Below are 17,821 nucleotides of genomic sequence, written 5' to 3'. Positions count from 1 at the left end.
AAAATTAAAGAAATTAAGGGAATTTATAATATTTCATTTATAACATTTTTGGCTTATTATTCATGTTTTAAAACTCACGTGGTTTGAAACAGTTGCATTTTTTTTTGGCACCTGAAAGATCACATTTTAAAAATTTAGGTGTGATCTTCAATTTATTTTCTTCCATGCAAGTTATGGGTTTGGAATAAGAATGGTGTGAGCCATTCCTATATCAGAGAGGAAATTCTCCATGATTCCCATCCGCACCCACTCTGTCCTTTGTACCCCTTCTGTTACGACCAATAGCCTAATCACAGCAACTCTAATTCTTCATAATACTTTCTAGAAAGAATATAGACTGCTAGTAGACTACGCATTGCTTGAAGACAAGGAATGTGTATTATTCACCTTGGTAACTCCAGTGCCTAGCCCAGAGCCCAGGAAGAAATAGAAGGTACTCAAAAAAAGCTCATTAGCTTAAGGAGAGGAAAGAGAAATGAGAAATGGGAAGAGAGGAGATTTTAAGAGAAAAAGAGAGGCTGGCTGCAAGTGATTGTCTGGACACTAGATATGAGTCATAGGGGAAAAGAATGTCTGAAGTTTTCAAAAATTTAGCAGTTCGGTATAGAAAGAGAAACTAGTAAAAAAGAATGAGAGAGAAGCCAGTAAACTGGAAGGAAAATAGAAAAATGTTGAGTCACAAAAGGACAGGTAGTTAGAAAGTGCTTTGAAAAGCAGGTCATGGCCCACAATGTCAATGCTGCTGAGACACCAGGTTGGATGAGGACATAGAATTACCCACAGGGTTTGGCATGCTGAGATAACGGGTGTCCTTCACAATAGCCAGTTTCAGGGAGAGCTGGAAGGAAATGCCTCATTGGGCTGATCTGTGGAAGAAGACAAGCAGAAAAAGAAGAGTCAACTCTGCAGAGGAGTTTGAGGTGAAAGAAAGCAGTTGCAGGAGGAAGATGTGTAGTCAAAATATTAATACAAATATTACTGAGGCAAATATTACTGAGGAAGGATCAAATAGAGAGATAGAAACTGGTGATGGAAGAGGAAGCAGATACCACTGCAATAATAAATCCATGAAGAAGAAGGGAGGAGTTGCGGAGAGGCTGGTCTGAACAGCAAGAATAAACCCCCATTGTAAAGAGAAGAAAGTACACCCTGTGAGAACAGAAAAAGGTGGGCTGGCAAAACTGGTGCTGGAAAAGTGAAGGAGTGCTTACCTAATTGCCTCTATTTTCTGTTAAATGTGCTGTATTTGCAGAGTGAAAGGGAAGATTTTTTGTTTTAAAATTGAGTTGTATAGACAAGGATACAATTCCAGATTATTTTTTAGAATAAGATATATCTGTCAGAGAAAAAAAAATCTAACTATAATGCCAAGCTCTGGAACATGCCTCTAGGAAATGTTAAAAGCTGCTCTAAATCAGCAAAAGAGGAAACATATAATTTAACTTTAGAGCAGAACTACTACCCAAGCAAAAATTTTAATATTTTGATCTCAAGACAATAGCCTCAAATACAAAAATTCAAGATGTGCCGCAGAACATTTAATAATGATCATTTTCAAAGTGTCAAAATAGGACAAACCATGTGTATTATATATTTACATACCTTATTTTCTTTAATTCTCATAAAAACTCTATGACATATTATTTTCCTTTTCAAAATGAGAAAACCAATGCTATAAAGGTTAACTCAAGTCCCACACCTACGAGGATAGCTGGAAATAAAAACCCTGTCTGATTCCTAAGTCCATTTCTTTCTATGACTCTATACTCTGAGGCTTGTATGGCTTCATGAAAAGCCATAATTTTTTAAATACCCATTTTAGCTAATACTCCAAATGTTAAAAGTTTCATCCATTTTAAGCTCCATTTTCAGCTTATTCAGAATTAATTATGCATAAGCCTATAGTGATACATGCCAAATTTATTCCCTTTTTAAAAATACACACTTTAATAAACACTGCTTAGGTACACACACCAAGGGCAGTGAGAGATGCGGGGAATAGAGAATAGAAGAATCTAGTTGGAAATATTCTAAGAGCAACAGACTTCATGTGGGGGCTCACATGCTTTACAATCTGTTTGCATTAAAATGAAATGAAAACAGTATTTTTTGTAAAATAGGGCAAAAGTATATATACAAGAGCACTAGCATAATGTCTGGCACATGGTAAGTGCTCAGTATATGTTAGTTTTCTTCTCTTTCCTTCGTAGCATTTTAGAAACTAGAAAGAGCAAAGAGTTAGTGTCCTAAATAAGTCCTTTAAACTAATCTATCTAAGAAACTGAGAAAATTGCTGGTGACATATTTTTGGAAGGTCTGTGGATAATATCACTGATCAGGATACCTGCCTATGTGAAATATGAGGTCACCTTGATCTCAGAGTCTACATTTCTCATAACTTTATGAAAATAACAAAATAATATATTTCAATGAAAATGATTTTCAAAATATTTTATAATAAATATTAGCTACAATATATTTTAAGGCTGTGTTGGGGGTTAACAGAACTAAGGTGAATGACCTGAATTTATGGTCCAATCTCCAGGCAATTATGAGTTAAATATTATGAGGCTAAATATAAGAGTGCAAAGAGGAAATGGGAGAATCCCTCTTTTCCTATGTGAATGTCCCAACCCATGCATCCAGAAAAGCTAGGCATGTAATATTCTTAAGCAGTGAGTAGAATGAATCTCAGAACTGAAAATCACAATGCCTGGGTACAAGGACTAGTGCCATTAGATAGTTTCACTGAAGCTCTGTGGGTGTGTTTCCCTAACAGTGAAAAGTACAGTGAAATGAGTCCCAGATTGCCTACAGTGTTATAGATAATTACTAAAGTTCCTTCCTTCACATATGTCTATGACTATATGTAAAATAAAATTGTATGTAAAGTAATGGGAATTTTAGAAATAAGCTGAGAGGCAAAAGTATTCCTTCTCCTGTTGAATTATAAAGATATTATCCTTGGGAGGCTGAAGCAGGAAAACTGCTTGAGCCCAGGCTGCAGTGAGCTATGATCACATCACTACACTCCAGCCTGGGCAACAGAGTGAGACCCTGTCTCTTAAAAATGATTCATTGATTAATTAATTAATTTAAAAGAGATTATCAACCTCATTCAATCTTCCATTAAAAAAATATGTGCTATTCATCCATGATACGCCAGGAACTGTGAGATCAATCTATCTTCTTTGTGGCAAATCATTAGTGCACAGTTGCCAGTATATGAATTATAGACCTGGAAAAGACCCTCAAACTGTCATTTGTATGTCCAGCTTTAAAGAATTATGTGATAAGTCTGAAGAAAAGCAATAAGGTGAGAAGAAAGGCATCTGGATCAATCATCACAATTTATTTCAGGAAATGCATTTAGAGAATACATTAGGACATTAGATCACCCCTCATTTGTACCCATTTATGCAGAAGGAGTGATCAAAAATAATAAAAGGAAATTACTTTCAACAATAAAGAATTATAACAACAAAAGTTTTGTAATCAAAATAGCATCAGACTTCTCATTCGCAAAATTGGATGCTAGAAGACAAGCAAAATCTTCAAATAATCAAATACATATAAAAAATTGTAATAACTTAATGAAAAAATTGTGAAGTATATAAGGACTTTAACAAACTAATTAAATGGGAAAATATGTCATGATCCTAGACAAGGAGCTTCAGTATTTCAAATTATAAAATATCTCCATTTAAAACTATAAATTCAAAGCAATCCTCAATAAACATTACAGCTGGATTATTTAAGGAACTTGTTAAGCTGATTCTAAAATCCACATGGAAAAATGGCAAGAAAGGATAAGAAATTTTTTAAAGAACCCTGCATGTGGTGTGAAGAGAGGGAAGTTATATTACTAAATATCAAAATATCCTATGAATTTATCTAAGGAAAATAATGTCATACTGGTGCCAGAAAAGCTGACATAAATGGAGCAGCATATGGAAAAGAAAAATAAACCATATACAAATGCAAATTTAGTTTATGATAAAAGTGATATTTAAATAAAGGGAGACATGATTGCATAAATACTATAGTGAATACTGGTTATCGTTATCCATTTGGAAAGTATTAAGTTAGAGTGCTGCCTGACACCATGAATACAAATAAATCTCAGATGTATTATGAGTAAAAGAGCTGAATTTTTTTTTAAATAAAAGTTGTAGAAGAAAATATAAAAGACTCAATAGCATTGAGGCAAGAACAGCCTTCCAGCATGAGGCACAGAGCCTGGACACGGCAGAGGAAGAGGATTTAGCCTCATCAAAAATTTAAATCTTCTATCAAAGAAAATGATGTAAAAAGATAAAGACAAAAGACAACTGGGGATGGGGCGCGGTGGCTCACGCCTGTAATCCCAGCACTTTGGGATGCCAAGGTGGGTGGGTCACCTGAGGTCAGGAGTTCAAGACCAGCCTGACCAACATGGCGAAACCCTGTCTCTACTAAAAACACAAAAATTAGCCAGGCATAGTGGTGCATGCATGTAATCCCAGCTACTTGGGAGGCAGGAGAATCACTTTAAGCCGGGAGGTGGAGGTTGTAGTGAGCTGAGATTGTGCCATTGCACTCCAGCCTGGGCAACAAGAGCAAAACTCCAACTCAATCAATCAATCAGTCAATAAGACAACTGGGAAGCAATGTCTCCAAAAAGAAAAAGATTACTATCCAGAATAGACTGCATACAAAGCCAGGCATCCTCTTCTCTCCAAGGAATATCTACAAATCCCTGAGGAAGGAAGACATCCTTGCTTTTGTCCCTTCCCCACTGCTCAATATTGTCTCTAGAAACAACAACTAGACCGTTCAGGTGGAGACCTGCTGAAACTGTTTTCAGGCCCTTTCTGCTACCCCAGGGACAGAAGCATGACCGGGAGCTGAGTAACAAACAAGATTTCTGCTCTGAAAATTGTACATCAAATTGTAAATCAAATAGTGATATTTTATATATATATATATATATATATATATATATATATATATGAAATTACTTTCAACAATAGAAGAATTGTAACAACAAAAATTTTGTAATCAAAATAGCATCAGACTTCTCATTAGCAAAACTGTATGCTAGAAGGCAGTCTTTTATATTTTATATATATATATATATATACGCACTGTATATATATATATAGACAGTGTGTATATATATACAGTGTGTGTATATATAGAGTGTGTATATATATACAGTGTGTGTATATATAGACAGTGTGTGTATATATAGACAGTGTGTGTATATATAGACAGTGTGTGTATATATAGACAGTGTGTATATATAGACAGTGTGTGTATATATAGACAGTGTGTGTATATATAGACAGTGTGTATATATAGACAGTGTGTGTATATATAGACAGTGTGTGTATATATAGACAGTGTGTATATATATACAGTGTGTGTATATATAGACAGGGTGTGTGTATATATATACAGTGTATATATATACACACACACTGTATATATACATATAGTCTCAGTTTTAAAATGAGAAACTGAGGCACAGAAAGCAAGCACCTTACTCACAGATACCTTATAACCTGCCTCTCACACCCCCTACCACTAAAAGGTGCTCCAAGGTTTTATTCTGAAACTATTAATCTGACATAAATTAAAGGAAAATTAAATGTAATAAACTTTGGTATTCACTGCAAATCTATATGTAGTAAATGCAAAGAAAATGTAAGTGGCAAGCACTGATCTAGAAGTAGAGATCTGAGCACTGGTCCTGTGTATGTCTGTAACGAATGACAAGGCTGTGGGCAAACAGCCCCTCCTGTCTGGTCCCAGTGCTCTCTCACAGGTTAAATGAGAGGTTTCATCTCCTTTGGTTTTCAACCCTGACTACAAGCTGTAATTGCTTGGAGAGCTTTAAAACAATCTGGTATCTGAGCCAACCCAGATCAACTACAGTCATACTCTCAAGAGCTGGGGCCCAGGCAGTGACAATGTGACAATATTTAAACCTTCCCCAGAGGATTTTAATGTGTAGCAAAGGGCTCAGAATCTCCAGGCCCAATGATGAGTTCTGTGTTAGAAAGTTTCTGATGCTTTAGCCAATGCTGGGGCCGGACTGTGGATCTGAGCACCGTGCTCTTTTCACCCACCAGGACTTAGCACATCCCTGGAGATAATCAGAAAGGATGGCTCGCTGGGGTGACCAAACAGCCTAAACATTTCCTCTCAGCTTGAGTAAACTTTAGACAGTTTTTTTTTTCCCCCTGACTGCAGGCCCCCGACTGCCTGCTCCTACATTTACTTTAAAAAGTTTGTAACTGTATTTTCTTTCTCCGTCTGCCTGAGAAATAAATCTTCTCCCAAACTCTTGCTGGTTTTACAACAGAGTAACTTCTTTCTCAAAAATCTGGGAGCCATTCCTTTGAAATGCAATCATTAAGGAAGACAGCACCCCTATCTCCCAGGCTCTATGGGAGAGTAGCACCCTAATTTCCATTAGCACCAATCAGCAAATACAGATGGCCTAATCGCATAGACCAACCTCCACACAAATAATGCTGTGCTATGTTGTCACTAGCTCAGGCTAGTGCTTAAAAACTTGCCTGCATTTTGTTTCAGCTGAGTTGAGTTCCATCTCTCTCTCTCTGATTGCAGTCTTGAATAAAGTCTTCTTTGCCTGTTTAACCCTATCTACTGCAATTTTTCTTTGACAGAGAGTTTGAGTTTTGAGTGGTACTCCCTGCAAAAAAATGTAGATAAGCTGAGTGGTCTTTCTTATTTTCAGAAGCAAAAATGGCAAGCCAAAGTCCTCTCTTCTGCTACTAATACCAGGTCCCAGGGCCCAACTTCATCTGTTTTAATTCCATTGGAATTTAATTCCATTGTCTTTGGAAAGACAGTGGAAAACTCACTCACATCTTTTGTTGCTGTTGAAATTAATTCAGTGACTTAATTCTGGATTCTTTCATTTATTAATATGTCCATTAAACATCTATACATACAACCTACCATTGAATGCAAACCTCTGTAATTATCAATCTACAAAGTTTTAAATTATAAAAGACAGCGCTTACTCTGTTACAAATCAAAACACGCCTAGACAATGTACAATTTCTCCCTGGATGCCAAATAAAAACACTTGCATTTGCATATTGGCTCCAACAACAACTTGGGGTTTGAGGTAGGTTGCTCCTCCTCTTTGTGCTTCAGTTTCCTCAGCTCTAAAATGAAGAAATGATACTAGATTCTCTCTTATTTTTTGCATTATAAAAGTGATTTTCCTTTTATGTTAGCATGGTAGGGGGATAAGAGTGGAGCAGAATCAATGTTTGGGGGCAGGGTTTGGGCCCACGATTTCCCAACTAGGGTTGGCACAAACCCAGATACTATCTTGACCCATAATCAAATCAATAATGAAATGAAAGGCATTCACATTAATTTTGCAGATGGCATCCACATAGAGTACCTCACTAACATACTAGAACAGTAAGTCTCAACCTTAACTGTATGTTGAAATCACCCAGAGAGTTGTAAAAGAATCCTGACGCCTGGGGCTGACACCCTGAGAGTCTCATATAATTGGTCTGGAGTACAGCCTGGGCTTCAGGATTTTTGTAAAGCTCCCAGCTGATTCTGATGTGCAGCCAGGGTTGAGAACCACTGCCTTAATATCAAATCTCAACTCCTTAATGCATTTCAGAGGTGCTCAATGACAGGCAGTTATAAAACTAACCCTGAAGAATATGCAAAAATGCATATATAAGAGCAGTGAACTGTACTAATATTCTAGGCAGTGTAGGTGGAGCAGAGAAGCAGCTGGGGATGACAATGGACAAAGACATGACAGCCTGTATAAAGAGAAGTAATAATACACAGAAAGACAAAGTGACACACCCAGCAAGGCAGGCCAAGCCCAGAAGAACAGCTAGAAGAGGAAGTGTGCGTGCGCATGGAGTGCCCATTGTATTAGGCATTTTACTGACGTTCTTCTGTTATATTTGTAACATTTCATGGCGGCCTGTGTTATCAGGTAGCTATCGTTATCTCTACTTTATAATGAAGAGACTGACTCAGAGACATTATATAACTTCCCCAAGCTTAGTCAGGGCCCATGCTTGCACTAAAAGTTCAGGTCTGTCCAAAACTCATACTCTATTTTGTCCAGATTATTAATGAAATTACTAAGAACAGACCTGAAATTCATCAATGTGACAACTACTTCTTCCCACAAGAGAGTTAGACACTCTTATCATGTGCTTGCACTCAGTTCATTGTCTACTTTTCAGAGTCTGGACAAGGCCAGGAAAATATATACTAATTTGATGAATAAGACTAAACATTATCATGTTAAATTTAGCTGTTCCTACTCAGAGTCACTATTTGAACAAAAGATTTTATAATTCCATGAAGATAAAATATACGAGATTTTCTTTGCACATTATGAAGATGCTATATTCATAACTTAGTTTGTCCTGATCAGCTCATCAGTGCTGAACTTTTTTCTATCATTTGAAGGTTTGGCCTGTTAACCTTATTTAAATATATAAGTGATATGTCCTCAAGGCTGCTTTTCTTCCTGTAACACTTTTTACCTGCTGTTCCCCATTGTTCTGAAATTGCCTGTGCATACAGGCTAGTTAAAAAATGATTTTTGTCAATTTGAACTCAAAGACTGTGTTTCTTTCATTTTTTCAGCATCCTTGGATTTACGTCATTTTGATCTAATAAATAAGTGCCAGATGCTTCCAAGGGAGTCCTTTTGTACTCTATCAATACATATTTTATAAGTCCTTATGCTTTCCTGACTTACAAATTAATTTGATATCTAACCCCCATAGTCTCATCCATCTTCTCATTTGTAAATGTTGCTTCTCAGCAGCTCTTTTCCCTGGAAACTTTCTAAATATGAATTCCTTTCTTGGTTTGCTCTTTCTCTTTGACAAGTTGCAATTTATTCTGGTTTCTCTTCCCCTTATCTTTTTTCTGCAAACCATGAACTTACAATCTGTGTCTTTTTGTTCCATGCCTTTTCTGTCTCATTTGTTCTGTGCAGTATTGCTTTAGTTCTTGGCTCTGCACTACAAAAGATGGGGTTTTGAACTCCTTTCATTCTTCTTCTTCAGAGAAACAGAAGCAATTTAACTTCCCCAGCTCTGATTCATAGGTGCTTTCACCTGCTTGGGGCTTTTAATGTTCTGTTGCTCATTTGATTAACCAAATAACTGAACATTCCCAAATTTACTTCCTGGCCATCTACTTCCTTTGTCAGGCCGTATATTTCCATAATGTCTTTCAACACCTAGCAGACACTCAATTCAAAGTGGGACACAGAGAGGGAGCAGGGATAGGGGGCAGCCCCCTTCCCCAGCACTGACTTTTTTGATTAGTTGGCAGTCAAAAAAGGCTCCTGGGTGCCGGTTGTCAAAGTCCCTGACCTAAAAGCAAGAAATGACTGGATAAAGAGATAATTTCTCTTCCAGAAAAAAACCCCAGGCATCAAGCCAGGAAAAAAATAAGTGCCACCATGTTTAATAGCTTAACCCCAGGGAAAAGAGTGAAAATGAATAAGAAAGGTGCATGAATTGCTAGAACCTGGCTCAAAGCCAATCCATCCCAGGATTCAACCTTAGGATTCAACCTTTTGCGAGAGGCAAAAATGTCTGAGTTATAAACATCAGCAGCACTTTGAGCTGCATTCCTCATTTAACCCTCAACATCCCACATCCTCATTATCCAAATAAAATCATCAAGATATGTTCCATCCTAGAAATTCCATTCCCTAGGTTTTAAGTGGTGGGAGATAAAGGACCCAGGGAGCATTGACCTTTAATAATACACATAAAAAGAGAACCCAACAAAAACAACAAAATATAAATAAGAAAAAGTGATTAGAGACATGACAGTCCAAAAGAAGCGCCATAACAGTGCCAAATTCTGCTTTGTACAAGGTCAGATAAGAAAGCGATTTGGGATTTCTGAATATAACATGCTCTGTGGATGCCAACAATGTCATCATTCTTGATTTTGCTGGATATGAAAAATGAGACTGTGTGGAGAGGGCACACACAGCCTCGAAAGCACTGTACCTGTGCATATCAACTCTCAAACTAATTTTCACAGATCATTTTTTAAGAAAAGCAATAAAATACTCCTTAAGTTATCCAATGCATGACATACAATGGTGGAGGCTGACAGCTAAGCCCAAGCCCTTAACATCAATACCTGTTGCTACCACAGTCACATGATAACCACCCTTAGAAATCTCTCAAGATAAAATCACTAGGAAAATGAAGTGCAGAGCAAGTTTGTTCTCAGGAGAAATATGTTCCCATCTTGACAACTATTATGCAAAGTGTGAAGCAGCACGAAGTACATGACAATTATATTTGTTTTCAGCAAATGTTGACTCTAAATTGTGTTAGATGTAGTTAATAATAGCATAGTTCTTTGAACAGAGAATAACATATTGGCACAAAGGAATGCTTCTATTAATCATCAGATTGAAATGATCATTTCAGAAGTTTGTTTAGCACATTTAATTAGCATCTAATAGAAGAAAAAATGTAAACTCTAAAGGCATTTTTCAGCAATCCAAAATGAAGTGTTCATCAAATGCTACTTCTGAAGACAGAACTACATGTTGTTGTTGTTGTTGTTAGGATCTCCATAAATCTTAATGTGTATGTATCAAGTTGCTTAAAAGGTCAAGTGACCTCCCAGAACCAGCAGTTCCAGTTCCTAGCAAAGGTGACAGTGAAGCCTGCTTCTGTCTCTCAGATATGCCCTTCACCCTCTATCATAAGATGTGGTTTGGTACAGTCATAGGTTGAAAATATGAGGGGTGGAATACTGCACTATAAAAGGATTTTTCTTCTACTTTTTGTTAAGGATGTCAATTTTTTAATTAGATTGAAGTATTCTCCATCTTATTTTCCCCTGGTGCTCAGTGAGTTATGCCATCAATAAAATGTCAAAAGATTATTTGAGCCAGTATTTGTCATTTTTATATTAACTGAGGACAACGAAGGAATATTTATTCCTTCCAATTGTCCAAATTGGCCAAGTTGGTCAGAGGACATTACCTAGAAGCACTATATTATTTTATAAAATTCTTTGACAGTTCCATGATTATATCACCAAACTGAAAAGATCCTTAGGATAGAGGCAATGGTTAACACAGAGACATATAGTAAGTGCTTACTAAATGTCTGTTAATGCTTTCACTTTTTCCCAATGGTTTCATATAACTCTAAGTCTTTTAAATTAAACCTATAAGTGTAGATTTGCATGCAATTGTGAAAATAATACAAAGAAGTTTTGTGTACCCTGTACCCAGCTTTCATCAATGGTAAGATCTTGCAACAACTACAATACATACAATATCATAACCAGGATATTGAAATTAACACTACTAGTCTTACTCAGATTTTCACAGTTTTCTTTGGACTCAATTGGGTATATGTATGTGTATCAAGTTCTATACAATTTTATCACAAATGTAGGCTCACAGAGCCACCACCTTGGTCAAGATACAGAACAGTTCCATCACCAGAGGGATCCATTGTATTGCTCTTTTAAAACCACACCCACCTAACCCCCACTTTTTCCCACCACTAATCTTTCCGCCATTGCTGTAATTTTATCATTTAAAGAATGTTATATAAATGGAATTATACAATATGTAACATTTTGGGATTGGCTTTACTGGCATAATTCCATCAAGACTGATCCAACTGGTTGTATGTTTCAATACGTTGTTCCATTGCTGAGTGATTTTTTTCTACAGCGAATGCTCAAAAATACTATTGCTGATACTCAATTGTATGGTAGTTGAATGTTTGGTTTACAAGAAACTGCCAAAGTGTTTACCAGAGTAGAGTGGTTGTACCACTTTTAGTTTCCACCAGCAATGTGTGAGTGATCCAGTTTCTACACATCCTTTGCCAGCATTTGGTGGTGTCCTTTTTTTTTTTTTCATTTTATTCATTCTTACAGGCATGTAATGATATCTCGTTGTGGTTATAATTTGCATTTCTCTGGTGGCTAATGACAGTGAGCATTTTTCAGCCGATTTGCATTTGTACATCCTCTTTGGTGAAATGGTTTTCCTGTTTTCTTGTTCATTTTTCTAATTGGATTGTGTTTTTTGTTGTTCAGTTATTGATTTTAGCTATTAAATGTTAAGAATTATTTATGTACATGATTCTATTTTAGGTACTCTTTGGAAGTTTTCAGCCACTGGAGAAACTATAGTTGATTCCAATTTAGAACTGTAGATCTTACATCTTTGAAAGAGCCAACAGAACATCTGGCCAAATCTCCTCATCTCTCACAAGTAAAGTTGCTTATGTTCACTTAGCCGATAAAGCAACAAACCCAGCAGGAGTACATGGTTTACTTAAATCAAATACAGTTAGTGGAGGAAGAAGGGGTTGGACTCACCACCAGTGGAGAAATCAGCTACCCTTTCTTGGCCTCAGAACTTCACCTGCAAAATAAAGATGATAATGCTAATGCCCTCAACCTCCAAAAGAAGTTAAATCCAACAGGCAAATCAGAAGGTTTATGAGGCCATTTATTCCCAGCTCCATAGTGACACTTCCCAAGCAACCAATGACATCTGTTAGTGGTGGTAGAGGTGACCTGCTTTGGTCCTGGCCCATAGCTTTATGATCATCACTATAATTAGATATAATGAATGTTCATGAGTAGCGGAGCTTCTGTTCTGCAGTTAATGTTTATTCCACCAATTAGCACTGACTGTTCTTAGAATACAACAACCAAGCATGTTAAAGTTCTGAGAAATTAAAAGAAATGGAGGGAAAGGTGAAAAAGAGTTGAAGGAGGGACTGATGCCCTTCCTCATTTAATGCTACTCTATCTGCAGGCACTAAATAAAAAGATCCCATTATTGGAAACAGAATGTGAGAAGGCCTGGGGAAATACATGTTGAATCTCAGGCCAGCCAAGAATATCAGACACACACAGAAGAAGAGGACCCATCTACCTTTTTGTTTCCTTTCAATGAGTCGCCCATCTCTCATGGTAGGGCAGGTACAACCAGAAGCAACTCATTGTTCCCCATGTAATGTTGATTGAAGTGATAAGCTATGGGACACTTCAGTTATTTTTTAAAATAACAGAAATATTTCAGATTCATTCTCTAGTTGGTTACACACTGGAGGATTTTACCTGGGGGCCTTGACCACTAAACCAGTACTTTTCCTACTGCATTAGTTCAATTGCTGCATAACAAATCACCATAGACCTAGCAGCTTTAAACAACACATGTTTTATCTCACAATTTCTGTATGTTGAGAATCCAGGCATGGCTTAACGGGATCCTCTCCTCTGGTCTTCCAAGGCTACAATCAAATTGCCAGCCAGGCTACATTCCCATCTGAAACTTTTGATTGTTCTTCCAGGCTTCTGTGTTTGTTGGAAGGGTTCAGTTACTTGTGGTTGTAGGACTGAGGCCCTTAGCTCCTGGAGGCCAGCTGCAGTTCCCTGAAATGTGGTCCTCCTCTTAGGCAGTTCACACAATGGCTATTTGCTTCTTCAAGGCCAGCAAAGGAAGTGTTCTCCAGCCTGCTTTAGGTGGAGTTTTACATAATATCACATAATTATGGGAGTGACCTCCTATCACCTTTGCCATATCCTATTGGTTAAAAAGCAGGTCACAGGTTCCATCTGTACTCAAGGGGAGGGAATTATACAAAAGCATGACTCATTGGAGGCCACCTTAGGTTGTATCTGTCATACCTACTAATTTTTAATTATGAAGGAAAGGGAACCTCTTTCCTTTTAAACATTCATGTGAGGAAATCAAGAGCTCAGAGTGAAAGGAACAACAGTAAGATTATTTTGAAGACAACAGCTGTTCAACTGTCTTCCAGCACTTCAGGCTTTGAAAACATCAATGAGTGTGGAAGAATCAAGAAACCAATACAAATACTCAGGGACTTGCTAATGTCATGCAAAGTATCTCCTGTGGATCAGCATCAACAGTGAAAACAATGACAAATTTTTACTCATTGTTTGCCTGGAGAAAACAGTATGGTTCAGTGACCATTTTGTAGAAAAACAAATGTTTTCCTGCCATTTTGTAGGAAAACAAGGTGGTTTTGCACAGGATTAAAGAATTATCTGGCCAGGGCAATTAGGCAGGAGAAGGAAATAAAGGGTATTCAATTAGGAAAAGAGGAAGTCAAATTGTCCCTGTTTGCAGATGACATGATTGTATATCTAGAAAACCCCATTGTCTCAGCCCAAAATCTCCTTAAGCTGATAAGCAACTTCAGCAAAGTCTCAGGATACAAAATCAATGTACGAAAATCACAAGCATTCTTATACACCAATAACAGACAAACAGAGAGCCAAATCATGAGTGAACTCCCATTCACAATTGCTTCAAAGAGAATAAAATACCTAGGAATCCAACTTACAAGGGATGTGAAGGACCTCTTCAAGGAGAACTACAAACCACTGCTCAATGAAATAAAAGAGGATACAAACAAATGGAAGAACATTCCATGCTCATGGGTAGGAAGAATCAATATCATGAAAATGGCCATACTGCCCAAGGTAATTTATAGATTCAATGCCATCCCCATCAAGCTACCAATGACTTTCTTCACAGAATTGGAAAAAACTACTTTAAAGTTCATATGGAACCAAAAAAGAGCCCGCATTGCCAAGTCAATCCTAAGCCAAAAGAACAAAGCTGGAGGCATCACACTACCTGACTTCAAACTATACTACAAGGCTACAGTAACCAAAACAGCATGGTACTGGTACCAAAACAGAGATACAGACCAATGGAACAGAACAGAGCCCTCAGAAATAATGCCGCTTATCTACAACTATCTGATCTTTGACAAACCTGACAAAAACAAGCAATGGGGAAAGGATTCCCTATTTAATAAGTGGTGCTGGGAAAACTGGCTAGCCATATGTAGAAAACTGAAACTGGATCCCTTCCTTACATCTTATACAAAAATTAATTCAAGATGGATTAAAGACTTAAATGTTAGACCTAAAACCATAAAAACCCTAGAAGAAAACCTAGGCATTACCATTCAGGACATAGGCATGGGCAAGGACTTCATGTCTAAAACACCAAAAGCAATGGCAACAAAAGCCAAAATTGACAAATGGGATCTAATTAAACTAAAGAGCTTCTGCGCAGCAAAAGAAACTACCATCAGAGTGAACAGGCAACCTACGCAATGGGAGAAAATTTTTGCAACCTACTCATCTGACAAAGGGCTGATACCCAGAATCTACAATGAACTCAAACAAATTTACAAGGAAAAAACAAACAACCCCATCAAAAAGTGGGCAAAGAATATGAACAGACACTTCTCAAAAGAAGACATTTATGCAGCCAACAGACACATGAAAAAATGCTCATCATCACTGGCTATCAGAGAAATGCAAATCAAAACCACAATGAGATACCATCTCACACCAGTTAGAATGGCAATCATTAAAAAGTCAGGAAACAACAGGTGCTGGAGAGGATGTGGAGAAATAGGAACACTTTTACACTGTTGGTGGGACTGTAAACTAATTCAACCATTGTGAAAGTCAGTGTGGCAATTCCTCAGGGATCTAGAACTAGAAATACCGTTTGACCCAGCCATCCCATTACTGGGTATATACCCAAAGGATTATAAATCATGCTGCTATAAAGACACATGCACACATATGTTTATTGCAGCACTATTCACAATAGCAAAGATTTGGAACCAACCCAAATGTCCAACAATGATAGACTGGATTAAGAAAATGTGGCACATATACACCATAGAATACTATGCAGCCATAAAAAATGATGAGTTCATGTCCTTTGTAGGGACATGGATGAAATTGGAAATCATCATTCTCAGTAAACTGTCGCAAGGACAAAAAACCAAACACCGCATGTTCTCACTCACAGATGGGAATTGAACAATGAGAACACATGGACACAGGAAGGGGAACATCACACTCTGGGGACTGTTGTGGATTGGGGGGAGGGGGGAGGGATAGCATTAGGAGATATAACTAATGCTAAATGACGAGTTAATGGGTGCAGCACACCAACACGGCACATGTATACATATGTAACTAACCTGCACATTGTGCACATGTACCCTAAAACTTAAAGTATAACAATAATAATAATAAAAAAGAATTATGTTTGACAGTTATTTTGATAAATACTTAGAGGTAGTTCTGGCTCATCCTCTAAGACATTCCCTCCAATCCCAGTTTTTCTACAATATCTTTTTTCTCTCTCAAATCCCAAAACAAATACAAGTATCTTTCTCTTCTCTCCTACTTAATATCAAGATGATAGTAATGCTACTTAATGAAAACTTTTATTGCATGGACAGGATAGAAAAATGAAAACTATGTCTCAATATGCACAGGAAATTGAGCCAACCAACCTTTCCTTCCATCTTACAGGAAAAAAAACCCACTGATGATGTCATCCAGAAATAATTCTTCCCAAGAAATTTCTCCATGCTTTCTCATCTAATTAAAAAACTTTCGATTTTATTTACAAAAGTTCCAACATCACCATTTTCAGTCACCCATTCTCACAGTTTCAACCCTCAGTGTACATGTTCTCCAAGTGAAATGGCCAGATTAACACTCAATCATTTCCACAATTTGCAAGACTGCACCATGTATGTATATGACTGATGGCACAAGAGCAATATATCTGAAGGAAAAGCTACTCTCTTCTTTATTTTTCCTTCTGTGTTCCCTATTATTACTCAAAGTGCCATCCTCCTCCCAGTTTCTCATACCCAAAATCTGTCATCTTCACTTTGTACCTCTCTGTAACCCCTCCACATCCTGCCATCTCAACCTCTTTAGTTTTGAAGGCATGCACCCTGGCCTTTCCACTCTCCTTGCTACTGCTTCAGCTCCTGCCCTCCTTCCTTATCCCCTGTGGCAGAGAATGAACTCCTTTCTTTCTGTCCATTTTCTGATCAATTCCACACACTGCTCCCAACATGGTCTTTTTGAAACACTTCATAACATGGCATGGACCTGTTGAAAAGCAATCAGCAACTCCCTGAAACATGGAAAATAAAATTCAAACATCTTGGATGGGCATTCAAAATTTTCGAGAATATGGTGCCTCCTTATACTCCTAGCACTATCTTCCATGATAATGACACTTCCGCACTGTCACTCTGTATTAGTCTGTTCTCACAGTTCTGTGAAGAAATACCCATGAATGGGTAATTTATAACAAAAGAAGTTTAATTGACTCACAGTTCCACATGGCTAGGGAGGCCACAGGAAACTTACAATCATGGCAGAAGGCACCTTTTCACAGCACGGCAGGAGAGAGAATGAGTGCCAGCAGGGGAAATGCCAGGCGTTTATAAAACCATCAGATATTGTGAGAACTCACTCACTATCACAAGAACAGCATGGGGGAAACTGCCCCGATGATTCAATTACTTCAACCTGGTCCACCCTTGACATTGATTATTACAACTCAATGTGAGATTTGGGTGGGGACACAGAGCCAAACCATATCACATCCCATCACAGCCATTTATTTATCAATCTTCAACCTGCCTCATCTAATTTTACCTTTCCATGCCTTAAATGTTGTCACTGCCTGGAATTCCATGTGTATCCATGCTGATATCAGAGTTCTCATCTTGTAGCAATTATTTCAATAGCCACATGCTTCGTGAAGCTTCCCAGATTTCCTCATCTTACCCTGAATTTGGGAGGGAATGTAAAGCAGTGGAGCACATCCATGCTACTCCTCACTAAAGGAGAAGAGGTTCCTTACTTTCTGTGTGATGTCACCAACAAGTCTTTGACTATGTAAAGGTTATTT

Source organism: Homo sapiens, chromosome 13 (genome assembly GCF_000001405.40).
Source record: "Homo sapiens chromosome 13, GRCh38.p14 Primary Assembly".
Lineage (NCBI taxonomy): Eukaryota > Metazoa > Chordata > Mammalia > Primates > Hominidae > Homo > Homo sapiens.
This window is presented reverse-complemented; position numbering follows the sequence as displayed.